Source organism: Homo sapiens, chromosome 1 (genome assembly GCF_000001405.40).
Source record: "Homo sapiens chromosome 1, GRCh38.p14 Primary Assembly".
In the NCBI taxonomy this organism is placed as follows: domain Eukaryota; kingdom Metazoa; phylum Chordata; class Mammalia; order Primates; family Hominidae; genus Homo; species Homo sapiens.
In genome coordinates, this window is record NC_000001.11 from 193,473,982 (window position 1) to 193,501,005 (window position 27,024).

A 27,024-nucleotide genomic window follows, 5' to 3' on the forward strand; every position below is an offset into this window, starting at 1 on the left:
GGAGGTGGAATCGGTGGTAGTGTCTGATGGCACAAGCTTTTAAGGGAGGGTTTACAGAGGAAGTTGTATGGGTGTGCAGTATGGCAATGGTGTAGACTAGACACAAATTAGTATTAAGGAGGAAAGTTACTAGGGCACGTGGTTCCAGGTGTGTGGAAGAGTAAACACGTTGCTAAGTCCTGCAGCTCCTTTTATGCAAAGTCACTTTCCTCTTTTAGCAGGCCCAGCGCTTTTCTGACCAGGTACTATTGTGACTTGACTTTAATTATTGGTCTGGTGGTCAGGAGAATAATTTTAGATCATCTCCAAGGGTGAAGTGAATCTAGTTAATGGAGAAAGGTATGTGGTGATGAATATCAGGTGCAGCCTCAAGACCAGCTGCATCTAATGACAGGTATGCAGGCCTCTTGCTTCAAGGTAGGGGGATCTCTACAGGCCTATTACAGCCTCTTGGGTCCCTATTGTGTTGGCTCCAGATCCTGTTGCCATTGTATCTCAGTTCTCCCGCTGCACTCCCCTGTGTTTCCCAGTTCCTTACTGGAGCTGATCCTGAGAGCACTCCCTAGTAAACCTTCTGCTCAGTCTTGAAGTCTATTTCCTAGGGAAACTGGCCAATTCTCTTCTTTTTGAAATATGCCCCTCTCTCTGCTTCTAGGACACCACATTCTCTTGGATCTTACCCTGACTCACTAGCACCTCTTTCTCATTTTTCTGGGTTTTTCTTATCTCCCAGGTATGTAAATATTGGCTTTTTTTTTCTTTATAGTCACTTTGAAGTGATATCATCCCGACTCATGGTTTTAAATACTATATATAAAAATGGACTGAATGAACCTGGGTCACTATATTAAGGAGGAGCCCACTTTTGAGGTTAATCATCATGAATTTGAAAGGAGACTAGTTGGCAAGATTGACATTTTTTTCCATGGTCATATTCAGCTGTCTCATCATAAATAGGCATTTATTCATTCAAAAAATGTTTGTTCAGTTTCTTCCTTGCATCAGGCATTTTTTTTTTCTTAGAGGAAACAGTAGAGAACAAAATAGACCAAAACCCTTGTCCTTGTGGGGTTTATATTCTGGTAGACATGATCCATTCAGTGGTCCATATTGGCCAGTGGGTAACCCACAAAAATTATTTGAGCTTTAATGTCCTAAACTGCTTATTGGAGAAAATAACATCCATCTTGCAGGTATGCTGTATGTTTAAATGAGAAAATATGTAAAATGCTTAGAATCTTATATGCAGTGGGAATTCAACAAATAGCAGTCTATTTTTAGATCTTAGTTCATATATACATTTTTTTGTTACAGCCTTAGACTTAGTTGTTTCTTAAGACTGACTGGGATTTCAAATGTACTTTAATCCAAGATATTTGTCTCACAACATTAAAAGAGTTCATTCTATTGATAAATATTTAATGAGTTTCTACTTTGTGTGGGGCACACAGTAACACAATGCAGCTTTTTATTCTCTTTCCCTTGCAGGTGAAATGATGAGTTAATATGCTTTGTACCCTAGAGCATGTTAAAAGAACACTATTCTCAACATTTGATGATCCTCTGCCCTGTCATTGGTCTTGAACAGCCAGTTATGTTGAAAGATGGCTTTCTCCATGAACTCCCCAAAGTTTTCACAATTTGTATCTCAGCTTTCAGCTGGCTACAATCCTCCCACCAGAATCTAGGTTCTTAAAATTTAGTTTATCCCTTTCCTCTTTAGAATTTTTAAAAACACACCCATAGACAATTTTACCATGGTTTCAAATTTCTAGTGGTATCTTAAACACTAACCAGTATTTTGTAGCTCTCTGCTTTTAGCCTAATCTTCTCTTCCATCTTTGCTTCTGCTTCCTCAACCTGGCTTCCTTCTGGTGAATAATTCTTCACAGGTTCTCAGTTCCTCAGTTATCTTTTATTCAGTAGGATCCCTCCATTTGTTCCTTGGTTCTTGTGCTTTTCCTTCCTGCCTCTTCTTCCATGCCTCACCAGTGTGGTGTCTCACCCACTGTCTACACTTCCATTCTTTTACCCTTTCTACTGGAGTTGTTTCCCAAGTCCGCTTTCCAGCCAGCTTCCCGTCTACTGCTCTTTCACTGTCTAGCTTATTCTTGCTCATATTTCACATTATATTCTCCCTGTCCTCCTCCCCATCTTTTCTCTTTCCTCCTTCCATCTTCCTGCCTTTCCTCTCTGATGCTCTTTTAACTACTGTTTTTAATCAGGGCTACTTTATTTCAGAGGGTTAGAGAAGTATAATGAGACATGGACAAGAAGGAGCCTCGGGTCTTTATGCTTCAAAGCTTTATTCATTTATTTGTCTTTTTCCTTTGGATGCAAAGATTGTTTCTACTGTTATTTCTCATGGGTGTCAGTATCCAACTTCTATTCCCTTTGCTGTGTGGAAAAAATTTTATCTAAGATTCAAAGACAGTCTTATTGCTAGAGAAAAATGTAATTTCTCCCGAAGATCTTGCTGCATTTTCAATGATTTTTCTGGAATATTCTTTATATACTATATCCCCTTTTACTTTTTTTTTCCTGTCCTGACCCAAACTATAATCTGAATACTGACAACATCCTTAAACTATAGTTCAGGATTTTTCCATATTTATTAACTTTCAAGTTTGAAAACAGTATGAACAGGTTTGGACCTAATTGCTTCTGTGTGTTAGTCTTTAGGCTTTGTATTAGACTACATAATCCATGAGGCTAATGTCTCAGACATTTTGCTTTTTGTGATGTTATTTCATGTTGAATTTATAATTTATAGATGGCAGTGTAAGCTTTTTACATAGAATATGGGGTTAAGGTGTGATAGGGTTTGGCTGTGTCCCCACTCAATTATCATCTTGAATTGTAGCTCCCATAATTCCCACGTGTTGTGGGAGGGACGTGGTGGGAGATAACTGAATCATGGGGGCGGTTTTCCCCATACTGTTCTCATGGTAGTGAATAAGTCTCACGAGACCTGATGGTTTTGTAGGGGGGAATCCCTTTCACTTGGTTCTCATTTCTCTTTTGTCTGCTGCCATGTAACACATGACTTTTGCCTTCCACCATGATTGTGAGGCCTCCCTAGCCACACTGAACTGTGAGTCTGTTGAACCACTTTTTCATTATAAATTACCCAGTCTCGGTATGTCTTTATCAGCAGCGTGAAAATAGACTAATACAGGGTGGAAGCCCAGAAGGAGCTAAACTAGTTATTTTTTCTCTTGCTTTCTGCTTCTTTACTGTCTGAGATCTGGTTCCACTTTTTTCTTCCAGGAGATAAAGAAAAAAAATAAAAAGAAAAGGAAGAAAGAGGGGAAGTAGAAAGATGATGGGCAGGCAGCTGTAGGAGTTTTTCAAGTGCTCAAATGAAGGGAATAAATGGAAAGATTATCAATAGCTATTCCAAATTTTTCTTTCCAATGGGCTACCTCAATCCCTTAGAGGTTTTAGTGCTGACCACTTGTCTTTTAAGGGTTTGTTGGCCCCCAGACCTGCTTCTTTCATGGGGCCAACATGAATTGGTTTCTATTCAACTGAGATTAGAGACTAAAATTTAGAGCTTTATTTACAAGCTACATAGATGAAAAATAGACTTTAAAATGTGTGGTTGTCTAATCATTTAGTCAGATAGCTAATTGGAAACAGCTGTGATAGCTCCAAGGCAGATGTATACCTTCCTTATAAAAGTCAGGTGAGACCTACATGATAGGGTACCTGAAAGGTAGGTTTACAATACAGAAGAGGGAAGGGCTGTGTGCAAACATATTTTTTGTAAGAATTGTATCAATTTATGAGAGATGACAGGAGATTGATTTTTTAAGAGGTAAATTTCAGCTGCAGAATTTAAATCTGAAACTTTGACTATCCAGTAACAGACTGAGCCAGCATTTAACAAAGCAATGAAGCAGGGAGGATCTTAAAGTCTTTAGCTTTAGTTTGGGATGGGGGTTGGTACACTTTTTCTGTAAATGGCCAGATAGTAAATATTTTAGGCTTTTCAGTACACATGGTCTATGTAGTAACTACTTGTGTAAAATGAATATTAGTACACATATGCCTTGGGATGCAGGAAATTTCAGATGATATCGTTAGCATTTTGGTGGGAGCAAATAAAGGTAAAGGCAAAGTGCTTGGTTTACAAACTTGAAAAGCTTCCTTAGGGTATTCCTTTATACAACTTAAATGTGTTGGAAACCATGTAAATGAACAGGATGCTCTCTTCAAATTTAGGACTTCCTTGGAAAAGCCATATGGAATAGTGTGTTTCAAAAAACTGACTTGTTTTTTTTCTCTTGCCCATTAGAATATCCCACTGTAATATGCTGCATTACTTTAATAAGGGTCAAATCAGAAGTCGATTGTATTCTTGTTTCATTTTTGCACAGAACAATTTTGGATAGTAGGATTAATTCTGGTTTTCTGTGGTGTTTGGCTGTTTACTGGGGGAATTTGTTGATAATGTTTTAAAAGTATACGTTAGTGTTTAACTCTCATTCATACCAGTGATGTGTTTGGAAATAATAATGTGATTCACTTACTGTTACCCTTAGAATTCTAATCAAACTTATTTTAATACCATATGGAGAGTCATGGGTTGCAGATTGTAATATAATCAAGGGAAAACAAGATTTTTAATAATCCAATTGCATTTGTCAACGGCTCAACTTATTGGTGCAGAACAGTGCACAGGACTGTAATAAGTGGTACTATTTGGTAAGGGGAAGAAGAAGCTAAAAGCAATGTTTCCTATGACATATCAAAAGGTATTTTTAAACATTATATCTATGACTACTTATCTATATAAATTCTTACTCTATGTAATATTTTACTGGAAAGAAAGTTAATGTGGTATAATAAAGTTTAGTATTTAATAAAGTAATGTAATTAAAGTAATATAATAAAATTTAGTATTTGTTAAAGTAGTTATCTTAATGGAAACCACTTATAGAAAATAACTATAGTAGGCATTTTGATCCCAATGTTATAAAGTGACTTATCCAAAATATGTAAGATTGCATTAAACTTTTGTAAGTGGTCCCCAAAATTTCAAGAAACAAATGTGTGAATTGAAGAGAAGTCACTGTATTTTTCTGGGGAAAACTTATATAATTCTTAGAAATGTCAATTTGACTGTATTGACAAAGCTTGCTTCTTTCCTCACATAGTTTATCTTATTGTGGAGCCTGTCAACTAGGAAGAGGTGAAGACTAGACTGCAATGCAGTAAGATAAGGCATTTCTTGGGGTCTTAGGAATTGCAATTTGAGGGACAGACTGAGCTAGAAACTAAACTGTGTTCTGAAGAGAGGTAGGATGGTACAGATTTGTAAAAGGATGCTGAAGGTAATCACAAGTTGTTTTGAAAGATATCACTGGTGACAGTGGTTGGTTTAGTACATGAGTCCACAGTTCATTGGTTGTCACTGTTTAGGAGTTGCAGCATTGGTGAAATTCGGCTGTTTTCCAGGATGTTGTGGTCATGGCGGTGTGACCCAGTTCAAATGTTAAAGACAAGTTCCTGTTTTGCAAGGTTTCAGGTCACGCAGGTAGTTCTTAGAATGGCTTCCTGACTGCATTTCAAGGCTCTAAACCACTTTGTATATCACATTTCACAAGCCTAATGATAACCTGAAAAAGAGAACCAGGTCTCTTTTTCTTAGCATAATAAAGACCAAGGGAGATCAATATTTATTAAATCATAAGCTCCAAGATATTATACTACACAGCACTACATAAGGGAAAAATGATGAATCAAGCATAATGGTTGTCGTAAAATAGGTACAAAAGGAAATAACAATATATGTTAAATAATGTAATTTACAGCTAAAGGCACAAGAGAAGAAATGTCTTTGGGCAATTGTAAATTATAATTAATAGTCAATTAAATTCTTCAGATAATTTCCTATTTAATTCTTGTGGATGGGCCACTCAGATTTGCAGCCCTAGTTGTGAGAACCTTCCTAAATCTTTGCCCCATTTGAGGTATGAGAAGGTAAGATTAGTATTTTCCCATTTATGGAGTTAACTAAATAATCACATAGAAACAGAATAGAATGGTGTTTAGCAATGGCTGGGGAAAGGAGGAAATCGGGAGTTGTTCAATAGATATAAATTTTTAGTTATACCAGATGAATAAGTTCTAGAGATGTGCTGTATATCACAGTGCCTATAGTTAACAATATTGTTCACTTAAAATTTTTAAGAGGGTTGATCTCATGTTATTTTTAGCACAAAAACCCTCCAAACAAAAACAACAAAAAACAAGGGCATTTAGAAATGTTTGGAAGTGATGAATGTTTATTATCTTGATTGTGGTGATGGTTTCATGGGTGGGTACATATGTGAAGTTGTATCAAGTTGTATACATTAAGCAGGTGCAATATTTTGTACATCAACGACAAAATATATTCATTCTTGCCATAGGCTGCAAGGAGTGGGGGAGATAGGAGATGGAAGAGATTGCTAATGGGTACAGGGTTTCTTTTTTGCATGATGAAAATGGTCTAAAATTGATTGTGGTGATGGTTGTCCAACTCTGTAAATATACTAAAAACCATTTAACTGTATACCTTAAATGAGTGAATTTTATGGGATGTAAATTGTTAATAAAGCCATTTAAAAAAGTAGATTTCTGTGTATTCTGCTGTGTGGCTGAATGAAGCTTCTGTTCTTTGTGATAGATGACAAAAGCCAGCCATAAAGACTGGTTTCAATCATTTAGAATTTTCATGTTATTGTTTTGATATCTAGGAATTGTGGGGGAAATCTGCTATCTTTGCCTGTTTGGTAGCAGGACCTGATTTCTCTCTGGAAGATTATAACCTTGCTGGGTCTTGGTCCATGTGGTTTGGATAGCACAGGGCCACCTCCAACTCCTGGCCTGGCTAAATCAGAGTCCTCCGTGGATATTTACTGAATGTGTCAGGAAAAGGTGTCCTCCCTCTACTGAGGCTGCTGAACTGGTAATCTGTGGAGCTTGAAGTTGTCATTAACATCTTTCTCACCTTGTTGGGAAAGCCCAGTTGAAGTATAATAAGCACATAGAAGAGGGGAGAGATAAGCTGTCTCTGTGGCATATGGAGCCCCTTGATCTACCACTCCTGGGCTTACTAAATACAGAAGTCATACATTATTTTTTAAAGAAATAATCTGGTCCTCAGGCAAAGGGTTTCCATCACTTGTAATTTATTTCCTCATCTTAGAGCTCTTTCTTTAAAAATTTAAGGTAGAAATTCTCGTAATCTGAGTTTTTATTTGATGCTCTATAGGAAATAGTAATGATCTTAAATGCTAGATCTCAAGTCTCAGTTCAATCTGAAACTTTAGTTAACATGTCTAGTATGTTCAACTTTTTAAAAGTTTATATATGGAGTAATTGTGAATCTGTGTCTCATACTTCCTACTCAGAAATGTCAGTTTTGTTCACAATACCACACATTATAATGCAATCCAAACTGTGTTATTCTGGTTGATTAAAAACAAACTTAAGCACATTAAAATTTTGAAGCACTTATTTGAGCATTCAGTGACTCCTGAATTGGGGTGGCATCAATCTGCAAGCAGCTCTGTTGGGAGGGGTAAAATGGGCAACTTTTATACAGTATTCTCCCTTTATTCACGGGGAATAAATTCCGAGACACCCAATGGATGTCTGAAACCAAGGGTAGTAACAAACCTTATGATATACACCATGTTTTTTAATGGATACATACTTATAATGTTTAATAAATTAGTCACAGTAAGAGATTAATAACTAAAATAGAACAATCATGACCATATACTATTAAACCAGTTTTATAAATATGGTCTCTCTCAAAATATTAATATTTTCAGACCACAGTTCACTGAAGGTAACAAACCACGAAAAGCAAAACTGGATAAGAGGGGGCTACTGTAAAGAGGTTGCAGAAGCAAGGCAAAGAACAGTGTTGATTGGTTAGAGTGGAAAGTTCCTGGTTAGAGGTTAGTTGATTTCTGACTCGTACAATTTCTTTAATTTGCTGTTTACCTTGGGCTTTGTTTTGTTCACATAGGAATTTAAAGTGCTAGAGCCACCCGGGTCTAATGGCTACCCAGTTAGAATTTTTTTAAACATGGTCAAAGGCATGTGAAGCTTATTCTGATAAGTTTATAATTCTAGTCATACATTTAAAATAACTTCTCTCTCACACCTCATTATATACAAAGTATTGGGAAAAATATATGTATTTTAAGCTCTTAGCCTATTCCTATATTGTCTTATACTGCTACTAACACAGGCATGCTGACCCTCTGAAGGGATGTTTAATCAATCTAATGAAATTTTGCTTGAAAGGGACAATTTTTTAAGAAAATGCTTTAATGTCAAACACAAGAGTCGGGTATCTTAATATGTATCAGCAATTGAACATTTTCTTTAGTAATACAAAGGAAAATAGAATGACTTTAAAATCTCTTTGTCCTTTGAACACTGAATTTAGGTTTGACCAAATGTTGTGTTTGTACCATTGATTTATCTTTGAATTTTCTCACTATGAATAAGAATTGTGACCTCGGAAATGCAAGTCTGCCATCCAGGCAGGTAGTAAGATAGAGCAGCAAGCCATCCTGGTAGAGGGAGAAGGGCAGAGGACTTGAGGGTCAGGCATTTGATTTATCTCTAAGTGTAATTACCTGACTCCAGTTTATGGTGAGGAGAGGAGGGGGTAAAAGGAAACAAAGGGTGAAGGAAACGATGGAAGTAGTAATGCTCAGCGAACAGTTGACTATGCCACCTGAAGTGCTTATGAACCCGTTTTGGCTTTGGAAACTTTCTTCAGACATGGATGCTCACCTGTAAGTCTCTCTGTGTGAAAGAGATGAAACATTGTGTGGTGGGGGTGGGGGTTCTAAATCCCTGTTCTAACAAGGTCACCTCTGAAAGCTCCTTGGAGTTGGAGCAGCTTTCCGTTTGTCTTCTGGTGGGAGGGAGGACTTGTAGGGAGAGACATGTACAAGCACTCACTCCTTTTGCCATGGAGGTGGGTACAATGTGTTTAATGTGTTCTAAGGGCTTCTTGCCTGTTTAGATCATGAACTACAAATTAGTTGAGAATGAACCGAGTACATTAAATATACATAATTATAACCTAGAATTATAAACTTATTAGAATAAGCTTCATATGCCTTGAGGAATGCGTTTAATAGGTAGTACTGTATTTAGGCATGGCTATATTCACTTTATCCAAACAGACAACTTCTCTTAAGTTATTTCATTGTTTGCCTGGTAAAGTTACTGGAACTGTAGTGACCTTCAAATAATAGAATAAGTTAATCTTAGATTTGTTGCTTATTTACCTGATAAGAGTAAAATAACTTTCTACATATTATACATATAAAATATTTTAGCTCCTACAATCAAATTAACATATTCACTTCAGTTACCTTTTTTTTGTGATGAGAACTGCTCTCATATCTCATCACATTTAAAGTATAGGTTAACTACAGTCACCATGCTATACATTAGGCCTCCAGAGCATATTAGTCTTTTTATATTAGTCAAATTTTGTTTTTAATTTTTTTTAACTTTTAAGTTCAGGGGTACAAGTGCAGGTTGTTACACAGATAAACTTGTGTCATGGGGGTTTATTGTACAGATTATTTCATCACCCAGATATTAAGCCCAGTACCCATTAATGATTTTTTCCTGATGCTCTCCCTCTGAAAGGCCCCAGTGTGTGATTCCCCTCTGTGCACGTGTGTTCTCGTCATTTAGCTCCCACTTAGGAGTGAGAACATGCGGTATTTTTTTTCCTGTATTAGTTTGCTAAGAATAGTGGCCTCCAGCTCCATCCGTATCCCTGTAAAGGACTTAATCTTTTCCTTTTTCATGGTTGCATGATATCCCCTGGTATATCTGTACCACATTTTCTTTAGCCCATCCAGAAATATTTGACCTAGCAATCGCATTACTGGGTAAGTACCCAAAGTAATATAAATCATTCTATTTTAAAGACACATGCACATGTATGTTCATCGCAGCAGTATTCACACTAGCATGGTCTTATAACTACAAGTTTGTATTCTTTGACCAACATCTCCCTCCCTGACCTTCTATGCTATATCTATGAGTTCAACTTTTTAAGAATTCACATATAAATGAATCATGCAATATGTCTTTCTGTGTTTGGCTTATGTCACTTTGCATAATATTCTTCAGGTTCATCCATGTTACAAATGAAAATTGTTTCTTCTTTTTTTTTTTTTTTTTTTTTTTGAGATGGAGTCTCACTCTGTCACCCAGGCTGGAGTACAGTGGCGTGATCTTGGCTCACTGCAAGGTCTGCCTCCCGGGTTCATGCCATTCTCCTGCCTCAGCCTCCCGAGTAGCTGGGACTACAGGCGCCCACCACCATGCCCGGCTAATTTTTTGTATTTTCAGTAGAGACGGGGTTTCATCGTGTTAGCCAGGATGGTCTCGATCTCCTGACCTCGTGATCTGCCCGCCTAGGCTTCCCAAAGTGCTGGAATTACAGGCATGAGCCACTGCACCTGGCCGAAAATTGTTTGCTTTTTAAAGGTTGAATAATTTGTGTATACACAAAATATACGTATCCTATTTTGTGTATGTATATATGAGAGACATATATCATAGACTTACATGTGGAAGATATGGAAACAACCCAAGTATCCATCAACGAATGCATAGGCAAATTGTGTATACACACCACAATTTATCCATGCATTCACTGATGGATACTTGGGTTGTTTCCATATCTTGGCTGTTGCAAATAGTGCTGTAATGAATGTGCTGTAATGAATGTGAATTATCTTTGAGATAGTGATTTTATTTCTTTTATGTATATGATGCACATATGATGATGGTCCCATAAAATCATACCACATGTTTATGGTACCTTCTCTATGTTTAAATATGTTTAGATACACAAACGCTTACCATTATGTTGTGATTGCCTACAGTATTTTTTACAGTAACATGCTATTCAGGTCTGCAGCCTAGGTGTGTAGTAGCCTATAGAATCTAGGTTTGTGTAAGCATACTCAATGACATTCATGTGACAAAATTGTCTAAGGAAGCACATCTCAATGTATTTCTGTTGTTAAGTCATGCGTGATTATATACCAAGAAGTGGGATTGCTGGATCATATGTTAGTTGCATTTTAATTTTTCAATGAATCTTCATACTGTTTTCCATAATGACTGAACCAATTTACATTTCCACCAACAATGTATAAGGGTTCCCTTTTCTTTACATCCTTAACACCTATCTTTTGACTTTGATAATAGCCATCATATGTGAGGTGGTATCTCATTGTGATTTTTCTCTGCTTATCCCTGATAATTAGTAATGTTGAGCAACTTTTCATTTACCTGTTGGTCATTTGTATGTGTCCGTGCTGCCCAAAGCAATCTACATATTCAGTGCAATCCCTGTCAGAATTCCAATGGAATTTTTTACAGAAATATAAAAAACAATTCTAAAATTCATATGGAACCACAAAAGACCTGGAATAGGTAACACAATCTTGAGCAAGAACAAAGCTATAGGCATCATACTTCCTGACTTCAAATTATATTACAAAACTGTAGTAATCAAAACAATATGGTACCAGAGTAAAAACAGACACATAGACCAATGGGACAGAATAGCGATCCCAGAAATAAACTCATGCATATATTGTCATCTAATCTCTGACAAAGCCGGCAAGAATATGCCACAGGGAAAAGATAGTCTCTTCAATAAATGGCATTGGTGAAACTGGATATCCACGTGCCAAAAAAAATCTGATTTCACCATACATACAAAGAAACTAACAATGGATTAAAGACTTAAAAACTGGAGCCATAAAACTTAGAAGAAGACATAGGGGAAAAACTCTATGACACTGATGTTGGCATTGATATTTTGATATGACACTAAAAGTACAGGCAACAAAGGCAAAAAAGAGTGGGACTAAATGCAACTAAAACATTGTGGCATAGCAAAGGAAACAACAATATGAGAAGGCAGCCTATAGATTAGAAGAGAATATCTGCAAACTGTATAGCCAATAAGGGGTTAATATCTAAAATACACATGGAACTTGTACAACTCAATAGCAAAATAACCAATTTAAAAAATGGGCAAAGAACATAGATATTTTTCCCAAGAAAATATTTCTTCCTCTTGATGCGCATATGTTTTCAGAAGAAGACAATTTTTTAAGGGATATTATAAAATATAAATGCATATTTGTGAAAATTATTTAAAATCTAGAGGAGCAACAGTTCCCTGTATACGAACATTTATTTATATGCCCTACATGTCATATGCCAAGTTATGTCATACTGGAAATAATCTTATAAAAGTTGTGTCTTTGATAGCTTATGATAGGGGAAACTATCCATTGCATGGCATAAAGATCACATGAGACAAGCAGTGCAAGAATTTTTCTTGATTTCAATAGATCAGAACCCGCTGTGAATATATAAAGGCAAATTATCTTCCTCACTGACTCAATTCTCATAGGCATAGCACGGTCTACTTCCCCCCCTCCCTCAGTTTGGAGCCTAAGAAATGGTAGTTACTTAGCAAAACTGCAAAGCTAAAATCTCTGCTAATTGGCAACACTAATTACTGTTAGCTGGGGATGTAGTGTTCAATATTTACTGTGTTACAATTAATGCGATATTACCAATTTGTTTATTTTAATGTCTGATTTATGATGAAACATCTAACTTAATATTTGGAAAGTGAAATACCACATACCTGATGCATAACACATTTTAAGTTACTTGGCTCTAGTTGGTAGCTCCAGAATGAATGTACTTATCTGTAGGTATTGTGTAAAGTCTAAGCATAGCTATCAGTGTACTGGCATTCATTTTGAAAAACAGATTTCTGGACCATTTTAGTCCATGTTAAATGCTGAGTCATTTCTACCTTCTTCCTGGTTGTGGGGCAGCTCAGTAGGGTGGCCAAATGACCTGTTTTCTAATGGACAGGGCTGTATCTGCACTGCAGGAAAACATTTTTAGTGTTGTATTTATGAAAGTATGACATGAGGCCAGTACGTGTCCTTACAGGAAAGACTTCCTGATGTGCTTATGCAAATTCAAACACTGCAAGCATGTCCTGAATTGGGAACCACATACTGACTTCAGGCTTCTAACAAAGGATATTGGAAGGAAGGGGTATGGGACTGAGCATCTCAGAAGAGTGTTTTGAAACAGAGAAGCCAATTTCAGTAGTATCTCAAGGGGTGCCTTTCTAAGAAGACATGACAAGGCTTTTCTCTGTTTCAAGCAGCAGTAAATAAGCTGTAATTCCTGTAAAGTTTTCCCAGCACATACTATTACTGAAAAAAGTAAACACTGTGTGCATGCATGCTTTGGTATGTTCATGTCAGCTGGGGGGATTCATTTTTAAAAATACTTTCTGTGTTAATACAACCTGAGAATTTTGAGGGACTGGGTGGTCTTATGTGTTAGAGGCTCGAAGGCACATCAAGTACTTAGGGGAAATTTGCTTCTGATATAACCATAAAAACTCAGGGAATTGTGGTGTCTGCCTAACATATCAAATCTTGAGGGTCTTTTGGGAGCCCTTATTTACTGCTCACAAATTCTGCATTCCAGAGCTGGGATTTAGACTGAGTCATCTCTTCTACCTCTAAATTTGTCTTAACTTCTAGCTCTCTGTTGCTTTTATAGCATAGACTGATAAGTAGTAGATCAAAAAATTTTCGGGTTGAAAAGAAAAAAATGGTGATACAAAAATGATAGGTATGAGAACTTTAGGATAGGATAGAACAGCTTTGGGGAAGGCAAGACCTTGAAATTAGACATAGCATGGAGGAAATTGGGCTCCAGAGAGAGATGAAAAGCAATCGGTTGGAGTCTAGGTGATCGGTTGCAGTCTAATTTTAGGAGATGTAGTTGGGATGGGAATAGCTGTCATCACAAGAAGGGGGCCCAAGAACAGGCTGCAGGTGGAGATTCAGGCCTGCATTTGGCACACAGAGGCTGGCTGTGGCCCAGTAAGTTCAGGACTGTGGTTGAGAGCTCCAAAACTGGACTGCAATTGTCGGGATGATGAGCAAAGTAGGTATACTCATTTTGCCCATTTGCTGTCTAGGCTGAGACATGACTTGATCTGAACAGTCTCTCCTCAGTATGAGATGATTCTTCGACATTCACAGCCCCTCATCAAATCTCCCCCACCAGCGCCCCATCTCTGAAGGATATCTTGGCAAGTTTCCTTGTCCCCACCCTCCACCCCACCTTTTTTAGTTAATAAATTCCTAGTCCTGCCTATTCAGAACTTAGACTTTTTAATTAGTAGAGGGTAGTTTTTAAGATCATGGACTCCTAAGCCAGAGCTAGAATGTTTTAACTGTGTGAACTTGGGTAAGGGCCCTAAAGTCTCTGTCCTCAGTTTCTTATTATGTAAAGACTATAGTATTTACTTCTTAAAGTTTTTGTGGGGATGAAATTAGTTAATCCACATAAGGCACTCAGAATAGTGCCTGGCATATAAGTGTTGTATGTGTTTATGACGGGTATTATTGTCTGATTGTCCCCATTGACTGGGGGACCTTGGCCACATGGGCTGTTTTGTTATTTCTCCTCCAACTTTAGCATGTGGGAACTGGGTGTTGCTTGGTTAGGAACATATTTTGCTTCCTGCTAATTTCTCATTTGTGTATACAATGTACATGGAGGGGGTAAATTGGGAGGCAGAGACCATCTTGTGTAACTGGTCCCTGGATAACTTGGTGTCCATTGAGAGCCTTTGTATGGCTAGTACCCAACTGTGGGTCACATGTATAAATTACTTTGAGGGTCCTGTAGGCTTCCCCACTGGATTACTTCTTTGACATGAGAGATGTCTTCCATCCTCCCAGCTTCTACCCCCAAAGGCCCTACAGCCTCCTGCTACTGATGACTGGTGGACATCCCCTTTAAGCAATCTTTCCTGCCTCATCTCCAGCAAACTAAAAGCTTTCAGGTGTTGGAATCTTAAAAGTAAAACCTTCAGAAAATCTCTCAACAGAGGTCTGAAATTTCAGTTTTTGAATATGAAGTCCACTTTAATAGGAAACATTCAGACCCACTGCTATACAGTGCCACTCTGGCATGGCAAAGATATTGGCCTAGGGCCATTTTTAAAGGAACATTGTCCAAAAGAAGGGACAAATGGTAGGGCAAGGTGACATCGTAAGCACCTGGCCAAAGGGGCATTACTTATATGAGTGGAAAATCAGGTGAGAGAATCCTAGTGATGAGAAAGTCTCCAAAAAACTCACAATGTGCACCATCAGAGAATGTCAGCTTTAAATACCATTTAAGCCCAGAGAGAGCTGTGCCACTGTGATATAAAAAGAAACATATATTTGGTCTCTGTCCTCCAGTTCCTGAAACAGCTGCTAAAACCCTGGTGTGATGGAATGATAGAAGCATCTTTTGTTTTAATAGTTGGTCTTAGTCCATGGTTCCTGACAGAAGAGATTCTAAGACCCTTGGAATCTCCAGAGTAATGTGTATCTTTTTGTGTGCTAATGAATGACTGGTGGCTGGGGTTCCTAGACAATTAGGATACAGCTTTTTGCCAGAAAGACCAAAGCATGATTAATGGGTTGAAACTTTCAACCCACCTCTCAACCTCTTGAACCTCCATATAAGCCCTAAATGAAGGGATTTGGACACCTTCCAGGTTGGTGAACACATCCACATGGCTGGAGGTTGGTACCCCCAAAACTCCATGAGGACAGAAGCTCCTGCGTTTGGGACCCTTCTTCAAGTTATGTTCCTTATCATTTGGCTCTTCGATTGGATCCTTTGTAATATTTTTTTTTTATGGTAAGCCATTAATAGTAAGGAAAATGTTCCCTTGAATTTTGTGAGCTGTCATAGCAAATTATCAAACTTGGGGGGGGGGGTTGTGGAGAACCCTGATTTGTAGCCATTCAGACAAAAGTGTGAGTAACCTGGGGACCCACTACTTGTGACTGGCATTTGAAGTGGTGAGATGGTCTTCTAGGACTGAACTCTTACTGTTGGACCCCCCAGTTGGTGTCTGAAGAGAACTGGAAAATTGCCCAGTGTGAGGAACAGGGTTCTCCTGTATCTCTATTCCTTACCCTTCATCTCCATCTCCAATGCTCATTCTAGAGGGGTCAGAAACCACAGTTGGTTCTAAAGTGTGAAGGAGAAGCCCAAGCCTTGGAAATAGAGGCACAACTTGCTGTTCCCTTTGCCATTGTTGGCCTCTGCCTCAAAGTAGACAGTAAAGCAGGTGGAAGAAGCTTACCTTTAAATGAAGTTTACAATTTTAACTATTACATGACACTTTTAAAATAATGCTGTACTGAGAATGTCCTTGAGACTAGGTGTAACTTTTTGTTATTCAATAGTAACCAGAATAACTTTAGGTTTTACTTGAGATTTTGTTCAGTATCAGGGAGAAAGGAGTGGCATGGTTGGTTTTCAGGAGGTAGTTGTGGGAAAGGATATGGCTGCTATAGGATTGCACTCTTCTGTATCGCACTAATTCACAATCATAGTTACATGCCCTTAGTTTTAAGAATGAGTTAGGTCTCATTAATATTTTTATTGTTATTGCTAATACTTGTAATGAGTCTTGTGTTTCATTCTGCATATGGCCAGCCAGCTATCTCAGCACCATCGATTGAATAGGGAGTCCCTTCCCTATTGCTTATTTTTGTTGACTTGTCAAAGATCAGATGGCTGGAAGTGTGCAGCTTAATTTCTGGGTTCTTGATTCTGTTTCATTGGTTTATTTGTTTTTGAACCAGTACCATGCTGTTTTGGTTACTGTAGCCTTATAGTATAGTTTGAAGTTGGGTTATACGATGCCACTGGCTTTGTTCTTTTTGATATTGGTAGTTTGATAGGAATGGTGTTGAATCCATAGATTGCTTTGGGCAGTATGGCCATTTTAACAATATTGGTTCTTGCTTCAGGAATTTGTGTGAATTGTCCCATTGTTTTCTAAAGTGGAATATATCTGGAAAAGACTGAGGCCTTGTCTGATTTTTATTATCCTCATAGATAACTTGATCATTTTTTTGCTTGGAAGCTCAAATGATTCTTCATTATCCTTGAACTACAGAAGTTTGCTAGATTATTCCTGGTATTTATGGTTCTGGTTAGTTTTCCTTGAGACCTGATGTCCCCTTTTAATGTTTTTCATTTCAGGATTTTTTTTAAAATTACGTTTCTAAATAAGTGTCGTGCTCTATCATTTCACTTTCCCCCTTTGGATAGCAAGTTATACATATGCCTTTTCTCTGCAACTGTCATTTTACTTATAATTCTTTTAAAAGATTTATTTCATTTTATTCACTTCATTTCTCTTTGTATTTCCTTCTGCATTTTCAGCTCTGTCCTTCTCCATATATAATCCTTATAATTTTGTGTTTACTTCTCTCATGGTTCCACTACAGTACTACCTTCCTTGTCACCCCCACCACCAAATTATCAAATTCTGCTAGTCATGTTTCATCTCATCCTAATTTTTCCTCTATCTCTACACTGAGCTTTTTCATCTCTGCATTGTGTTCTTGTTTTACAGAGCCATTTTTTTTAGGTTTTAAGTATTCATGGTAAAAAGTTTGACAATATTTATCTGCCTCAGGGCCAAAGGTTTCTGGTGAGGGTTATTTTTCTATATGCTTTTCTTGTTTCTTTTTTTTCTTGCAATCCTTTCTGTAGATCTTATTTTTCCTGTTTTGCTTTCTTTTTGATTACTCATCTTTGAAAGAGAGAAATTTTTCCCATACTGGTTGTTGCAGGATGATTAAGTTGGGGGGTGGGTGAGGGGCAAGACCATGTTACAGACTAGATGGAATTTTTATCATCCAGCATTTTTTTTTTCTGTGTGAGTTTGTTTAAACTTTATTTTTCCCAAGGCAAAGTAAACAGACAGTTGGTAAACTTTTTACTACTATTTTCTTTTCACGATGGCAGCCACTATTTACAAACAGCTCATCTAGGGAGCTTTATCACCTCTGCTTCTCAGAGCCATATCCAGTCCAGTGAAGCTTGTGGTACTTACTTGTGTACCCTGCTCTTCCTTTGTGAAAACGGACTGAAATTTTTGTACGTTGACATATGTCCTTTCAGGTTCAAGACATGGACGCTGGTGACTGCCTCTTGAATCTGAAAGGTTCAAGGAGAATTAAGATTTGCTACACATACTAAGTAAATCTTGGTTTGATTTACTAAGCTCTGTCTCTGCTCTCCATTTCACATCTTCAGACATATAAGTTCATCTCTACTGTTTTTGGCAGCCCTTTCGTGTATATTTGAGGTTTGGGGTTTTATCTATACTCTAGTTCCACTGAAAGTCAAGTTTGCATTTTTGTTTCCTTTTCTCCTTCATTGAAGTGTTTCTCAAAACACAGTTCTCAGATATATGCATTGTAATTACTTGGGGTATTTATTAAAAAATTCACATTCCCAAGTGTGATGGTTAATATTGATTGTCAACTTGATTGGATTGAAGGATGCAAAGTATTGTTCCTGGGTGTGTCTGTGAGGGGGCTGTCAAAGGAGATTAACATTTAAGTCAGTGAACTGGGAGACCCAGACCCACCCTTAGTCTGGGTGGGCACCATCTAAATACTGCCAGCGTGGCTAGGATAAAGCAGGCAGAAGAACATGGAAGAACTAGACTTGCTGAGTCTTCTGGCCTTCATCTTTCTCCTATGCTGGATGCTTTCTGCCCTCAAACATCAGACTCCAAATTCTTCAGCCTTTAGACTCTTGAATTTATACCAGTGGTTTTCCAGGGGCTCCTGGGCCTTTGGCCACAGACTGAAGGCTGGACTGTCAGCTTCCCTACTTTTGAGGTTTTGGGACTTTGATCCACTACTGGTTTCCTTGCTCCTCAACTTGCAAATGGCCTATCATGGTACTTTACCTTGTGATTGTGTGAGTCCATTCTCCTTAATAAACTCCCTCTCAAATATACATATATCCTATCAATTTCTGTCCCTCTAGAGAGCCATAATATTCCAAGGTTCTTTCCAAGGCTTGCTAATTCAAAGCCTCTTAAGCTGGCTTTCAAGATTCAAAATTTTTAGTAAGGTACCTATTATGATTTTTACATACATGGAAGTTGACAATCACTATTTTAGTGAATAAGTTTTAAAGAGGTAACTTTTTCCATCTAATGTGGTTTTCAAAAAATTTGCTACCTAACACATAATGTAATTTCTGCACCATTGTCTTGTCTTTGTATTGCTCGCTGCTGTATAGAACCAAGATTCTACATATGGTTACATTCTTATTTATTTTCCAAGTCTATAAAAATCTGCAGAGGCTTCAATTCACTTTGGGTATATCAGTCCATATACCATGCATATTTTAAAATCTTACCCATTGTCTAAAATTCAGAAAGTTTTCCCATCTTCTTGATTTGTCTCAATCCCCAGTGAGTGATGACTTCAAATATAAGTATTGGCAGCTGTGAGAGCTATATAACATATCCAAGTCTCTTGAGCACCCCTTAAAGAACTTGGAAGATTTACTTAGTATGTATAGCAGGTCTTAATTCTCCCAAGTTAAACCTCTTGTGGCCAGCTTACTGAAGCTGTGAAAATGGAGATGCTTTATTGAGAATGGAAAGGGAATTTGTAATTGTCTTTCATCTCCCCAGGCTACCATTCCAAATATGACAGCAAGGACTGGGAATTTCAAGAGTAAAGAAGGTGGCATTTTGTGTTTCAGATGCCTTGATTTTTGTCACACTCAGTTTCCTGTGAGCTGATCCCTTTCATGCTGTTTAGAGGTTGACTTCAAAATGACAACTAATTAAAAGTAGAAAATTTGGTATCTTTTGAACATGAGTACTTCTTTAGAGATGAGAGGGGTAGATGCCCTAGATTTAAAATGATTTAACTCTTTGGCCAAATTGAGCATCCTCATGGGTTACTAGTAAATACAGCTCACAGATAGTTTTCTATAAAGATATATCTTAATCTCCTTTCTGGATCTAACAAAGTGGTATATCTCTGTCCCCAGGGTGTTTTTCCCATGGACATTAATATGATCTGAATATTAAAAAGAAAACACTTTGGCGGTCTTTGGAAGGGTATGTGTAGGTTTAAATCTTAGATAACAGAGCTCAAGGCTACCAAGGCTGTAGCATATTGAAAAGCATTTAATTAAACTTTTTTCTCCAAATAGTTGTCAGGTTTTAATTTTTTAAGCCTTACGATTGTTGACTGTCAGTGAATACAGCCTATGTGCAGCAGAGTTTCCCTGACTTAGCCAAGGTGTTTGCTAGTGGGGAAGGGTACAAGGCAGGGTCAATGCCGCAGATGAAGCAATCTCCCCTAAAGCAGCTTTTGAAGTGACATTTGTGGAAGGTAAATGTTGCTGCCTATTGCCAGCAACTCTTGAGAACAGCAGTTCAACCTGACTTACATAAAATGTTTAGGTTAAAACACAGAATTTTATATAGAAACACTTAGGGCAACCATGCCTTGGGCCAAGAAAAGCAATATATTGTGCACTATATGGTTCCTTTTGCTAATGGCAGTGAGGGTTAGCATTCAAAGAATAGTTATGATTGAAATTGTTCTGTTATGCACACAAATCATAAAAGGTGGATAAGAGAAGGGTGTTAACATCTAGAATGCCAGCTATGTACCAGATATAAACAATTAGGGCCTCTTCATATTTCATTGTGTGACATCTTTACTTTTCCCAAGTCAAAGTAAACAACCATTTGTTAGGATTCACATTTAAGTGACGTAAAAACTGAGAAGAGTTAAGCGGCCAAAAGTCACTTAGGTTGTAAGTGGCAGAGTTGGGGTTTGAATCCAGGCAGGATTGGCTAGAAAGACACCTCACAAATCCTTCACTGTCCTTTTACCACCTTTCTGCTTCCTCACAGGGATATTTGGACCAAGTTTGAAAATGTATCAAAATGCATTGAACTTTCTGCAGTGGTCTGCATGTTGGTCATCTTTGTTTATTTCTTTGGCAAGAATCATAGTGTAATCTGCACAATCAGTACATGTATATTTGTAGAAATAAAGTTTGGCAGAATTCTTACCCTGAGTAGTGAAAAGATTCTGGTCTTTTGATTCAGAAAGAATCCGAAGGGAACTGTCCTTGAGCAAGTTACCTTGTAAACCTCAGTTTTCTCTGCTGTAAAATGGTAATGATTATCATACCACAATATCATACCATTACCATAATAGCAACCTTTAAGATTGTGGAATGAATTAGGAGTATGTAAAGGGTCTAGAACAGTGTCTAGCATACAACAGGAGCCTAAAAATTATTACTGTTACTATTGACGTGCATGAGAATTCGTTGAACACTATGCTGCTGCGCCCTTTGTAAACAATGATTACTGAGCCTCTAAATCTTATTGACACCTATTTTTACACTACAAATATTCTCAGATAATGTTACCAATTGGGTATGGTAATGACAATTCAAATATTCTTTACTTACCTATATAGTCAGTGAAAATTTCAAGACAAAAATTGGCTGTGTATATTTTCTGCAAGAATTCAGATACTTTTATAATGGTGAATTCCGCCTACTTTCATGAAGAGATTTTTATTTAAATTTGACTATTTCAAACATTTACAATAGAATATTAATATAAAGAACAATAGATACCTATCAGATTTATCAGATTGATGGAGATTATCAAGATTTTGTCACATTTATTTTTGTCCTTTTGTTTGTTTTTTTCCCCCCCATTTTTGCAGTATGTTAAGGAAAATCCCAGACACGTTATTCCTATGGCTTTCAAAATGCATCTACATAAGGGCAGTTTCTTCCGTATGACAATATTATAGCACATCCAACAATACTAGTAGTAATTTTTTGGTGTTATTCAATAGTCCACTATCAAATTATTCCAATTGTCCCAAAGACTAGGAAAATATTGCCTTAACATATTAACTAAATGCAACCTGTGGGACTTGTGTTAAGTTCCTTAAGCATTTTTGTTTTTGAATCTAGAGCAGCCTCTTTTCCCTTAAGGCCCCTTCTTTTCATGTCATTGATTTGTGCAGAAACTGGGTCACATTCTGGGGAATGTGCCACATTCTGGATCTGTGTCTTTACTTCCTTGTGACATTTAACTTGTTTTCTCTATTTTTCTATTTCTTACAAACGGAAGTTAGCTCTATACTAGAGGCTTGATTATATTTAGGTGCAACATTTTTGGCCAAAGATATTCAAAGATGATTCTAGGTGTTTCATAAAGAGGCCACAGTAGTTGGTTGTCCTAGTTTTCAGGATGCTAAAATTGAGTAGTTAAAGGTACTGACAGACTTCTGTTGATAGTCATCATTGGATATTATTTCATTAGGGGATACAAAGTGGTGCATTTCCAAATCTATTTCTTTTTTCAAAGCAAAGCTTTATTGAGCAGTAGTTGACATACAATAAACTACACAAATTTAAGATGCATAATTTGAAAAGTTGACATAGGTACACCTGTGAAACTATTATCACACACAAGAAAATGAGCCTATTCATCACCCTTAAACATTTCCTTATGCTTCTCCATAATCCTTCTCAATCCCCCTTTCTACCCCCATTCCCAGGCAACCTGATCTGCTTTCTGTCATTATCAGTTAATTTGTATATTTCTTATTTTTCTCTAATACTCATCTTAAGTGAAATAATTGTGGTTTATAAAATGATTTTAGAAAATTGAGGCTGGGTGCAGTAGCTCACGCCTGTAATCCCAGCACTTTGGGAGGCCAAGGTGGGCAGATCACTTGAGATCAGGAATTCAAGACTAGCCTGGCCAACATGGTGAAACCCTGTGTCTACTAAAAATACAAAAATTAGCTGGGCCTGGTGGTGAGTGCTGAGGCAGGAGAATCACTTGAACCCAGGAAACAGAGGTTGCAGTGAGCCCAGATTGGGCCACGGCACTCCAGCCTGGGCGACAGAGCGAGAATCTGTCTCAAACACACACACAACAAAGAAAATTGTTTGTCATTCAGCATGATCATTTTAGAAGTTGTTAACTGGGTAGTATGTGATTGATACAGCAAGCAACAGGGGAATGAACTGGCTCTAGCGCTTCCCAACACTACTTAGGATTTAGCTTTTCCCCATGAAAGTTATTTGATGAACATTTTTTTCCCCTACAACTTTTATAGATCTTTAGAATCCAAAAGGTAATATTAACTGGATTAATTTATTAATTTCCCTTTATTAACTTAACTATTCAGGTTTGGCCACTTGTATTACAATAAAATATATAATTGCTATCATCTACACAAAGTGTTTTTCCCCTTTATTGAAACTGTAAGAGAGTGGCTTATTTTTTCCCTCTAGTTCTCAGATTTTAATTTATCTTTAGCTAACTACCTTATGAAGAGCAGAGTACAATGTGTTATCTTTCTTCTTCATTTGCAAGGCATGTGAATTTTGGAGTAAAGATACCTGATTCAGTAGGACCAATGACTTTTAGGCAGTTCACCTCAATTCTTAGCACAAGGAATACACTATAATCAAATGTTGGCTCATATAGATTGTTGTGCTATCCTGGAAAGACAGAAACTTGGTAAGCCACAAATGAAACGCTGCAACTATTGAAAAAGGTGGGTCGGGTGCAGTGGCTCACGCCTGTAATCCCAGTACTTTGGGAGGCCAAGGTGGGTGGATACCTTGAAGTCAGGAGTTTGAGAGCAGCCTGGCCAACGTAGTGAAACCCTGTCTATATTGAAAATACAAAAATTAGCCAGTCGTGGTGGCATGTGCCTGTAATCCCAGCTACTCAGGAGACTGAGGCAGGAGAATCGCTGGAGCCCAGGAGGTGGAGGTTGCAGTGAGCCGAGATTGCACCACTGTGCTCCAGCCTGGGTGACAGCGTGAGATTCCATCTCAAAAAAACAAAAATCTCACAGTGAAATAGGAAACAAGTAATTTCAAAATCAGTGCAACATGAGTGGAATTCCACGAGAGAGATCTACCCTCTCGTGCTCTGTGCAGCTGCCAGTGGGGAGCTAGCAGGTCCAGAGCTTGGCAGAAGCCTTTGTGGTAGAAAGTGGCTTTGGTACCCCCAATTGCCCCACCACCCAGTCATGCTTTTTTTTTTTTTTTTGGTTCCTATAGATTTTCTCTTTTGGACAGCTCATCAGTGCCTTTTACAGATCATGTTTTAAATATTTTATCCAGCATTTTAGCTGTTTCAATCAGGTGGGGTTTTCAGAGTGTGAAGTCTGACATAATGCTGGAAATGGAAGTCTAGGGAGCCTTTCACGATTACCTTCCTAAGGTATTCCTCCACTGCACAGCAGGGTGCACAGATGTCATCAATTTCTATCTTTCTTATTGGCCCTCTGGAGCCTGGAAATTCCCTAAAGCCGGAATTTCTCAGTCAACTTATCTCGGGAGAGTGAGAACTTAAGTACTACTGACTTATATCGCGGGGTCCTTAGAGACTGTTTTTCTAAACAATTCATTATCTACTATTCATAAAGTATTTCCTTGGAGGGAAGAATTTGGCTGCCAAGTTGCACTTGAGGAAATGGCTATTGAAACTGACCGTGTTTATACTCTTGTATCATAATTATCTGGTGGATAGTTCTTAAAGCTTTTAGTAGTTTTCTTCTTTTTAATCTTCAAAATGCAAAGAAGTCTGGAATAAGGACATGAGTTGCATCTGCTGTTACTGTGCCTCTCCTGGAAGATTTTTATTTTCGAGTTGCATCTGCTGTTACTGTGCCTCTCCTGGAAGATTTTTATTTTCCTTTTTTCAGTGTATAGGTTCTCAGCTAATTTACTTAGGGCTTCTCCGTGTTTAACTCTGTCAAGAAAAATAACCCTGAAAATAGAAGGAAATGATGAGGCAAGAGATGGGGATGAGGGGCAGAAACTCAATCAGCTAGATGATTGTTTTTCTTATCCCACCTTGAATCATCTCTATTAACAAGGAGAGCTTAGTTTCTTTTTATATCCAGCATACCTGAGAGCCAAGCATATTACTGCTAAGAGCTACATTTCATGTTTTTCTTTTTGCCCATAACAGTATTTATTTTGTAATAGCTTTAATAAAGAAGTCATTGTGGTTGAGTCACAGATAATTTTTTTTAAAAAGTACATTTTCTATAAGGATGTCAAGACAAGCCACTAAGATGCTTGAGATATAGAGAATAAAACCTATTAATAGTTCAGTGGAGTCAGAATGTTCCCGTTTTAAATACAAGTGGCAAAGCCCAAATATTTGATGTTATTAGATTGTAGAGTTTAGCAATATAAATTGGAAACATGTAAACAATGTAAATGAATATACATTTTTGGTGAATTCTGAGGATTTTCTCTGGGGGAATCAAGGTTATTAGAATACATGCTACAGTTAGAACATATTTATGTCAATGAAATTTGGGGGAACCCAAATGTGGAGTTAGTTTTACCATAATCATCAGAAAAGTGACTACATTCTTAGTTTATTATATATTGATGAAGCATTTTGAAAAAGAATTGCTGCTGTATCAACTATGTATAGTTGTTCTGAGAAACTACACGATATAGTTATTGGCTTCTAATCTTCTATAGTGAATGAGATTTTATTTTAAAATTCTGATTTTTTTGAAGGCATTATTTTGCAATTTACTGTCACTGAAAGAGAACCATTTTTTTTTACTGGAGAAAATTAGTTTTCTGAATTGTTTCTTATACATTATTTTCTATGAATCTACCTTGCCTTTTAGATGGGTTTTTATTTCTCAACTAAGTGGCTCTATTATTTTTAATATTTTGTAATGCTGAACACTACAGTACTCAAACATATTTTACTGCTTGTTTGGGAAAATGTTTTGTTGTATCTATTTTGATTTGTGGTAATCAACACTGAAGGCAATAGTCAAGGCTTTAGATAATTTCAGTATAACGTTTTCACTACTTTTTATATTACATTCTCAGTACAGTTTAAATTTTATTTATCCTTGAACTACTTTTGCACACTGAGCACATGTCTTTGCCTGAAGCTGGTGTGGCCAGTCAAGAACTGTGAGTTAAACTATAAATTGTTCCTTCCAGTGTACATTACTATGTAGTTCTATTTGGTAAATTTCAGATAGTGGTATGAACTTTCCAAAGATATTTCTGACTCCTGCTCTCATCTCAATGATGAATAATTGTGTTACAGTGAGAGCACCTTCACCAAACTCTGCTCCTTCACCCAGCCCACTGGCTTACCCAGGCCCTCTGTTCTTCAGTAAGGCGTTGTCTGATGCTCCCTGGTGTTAACCCCGCGTAGCAGTGTATTGTATATCAGCACAGCCACTTATACTCTCATCCACTCTTTTATACCTACCAAGAATCATTTTGGCTGTCCTAGGGTACAGTCTTGATTTTCAAAGATAAAGAGAAAAGGGTGTATTCTTTATAAAGACATATTACTTGCAAAGGAAATATAATTATTCTAACATTGGGCTTTGCTTTCTCATCAACAATAGGGAAAGTTAGAAGACAGTTTAAAAAAAATCCATACACTGTTAAAATGGAAGGCCTTTAACCCAATAATCTTATGCAGTTAAGCTATCATTCATTTATGAGGGTAAAAAAGTAACATTTTTGGACATGGAAAGATTCAGCATGTACCATGAATTCTACCTAAATAAAATACTAAGGAATTTAATCAAATGACAATTAATTCAGAACAAATTTCAAGATAGGGGAAGCAAGGAAAAGAGGAAAGCATTGTGAGCAATGACTCTTGCTAAATATATGTGATTAGATCTTAAAATGGGCATTTGAAATAGAGGTAAGAATTCTTGACACATCAGATTATTCTCTGAGGGATATAAGCTATTATTCAACTGCGTTTCACTAATATTTAGGTTTTTAAGCCCAGGAGGTGGACAGCATGGGGAAATAAACACATTCTTTTTTTTCAGTAAATATTTTTAAAGCACATGCTATATGCTTTGCTTTAGGCACTGAGGTAGACAAGCTCACAATTTTATATATCCATTCTAGTAGAAAACAGATAACAGACAAATTCACAGGTAAACAAGATAATTTGAGTATTAAGTACTATGAAGGATTTAA

At 37.3% G+C, this 27,024-nt stretch overlaps 1 long non-coding RNA gene across 1 annotated transcript in view; it reads left to right on the forward strand.

Annotated features, from left to right (window-relative positions):
• LOC124904475 (uncharacterized) overlaps window positions 1-27,024 on the forward strand; it is a 765,263-nt gene that overhangs the window by 19,697 nt on the left and 718,542 nt on the right. The gene's annotated exons all lie outside the window — the stretch shown is intronic.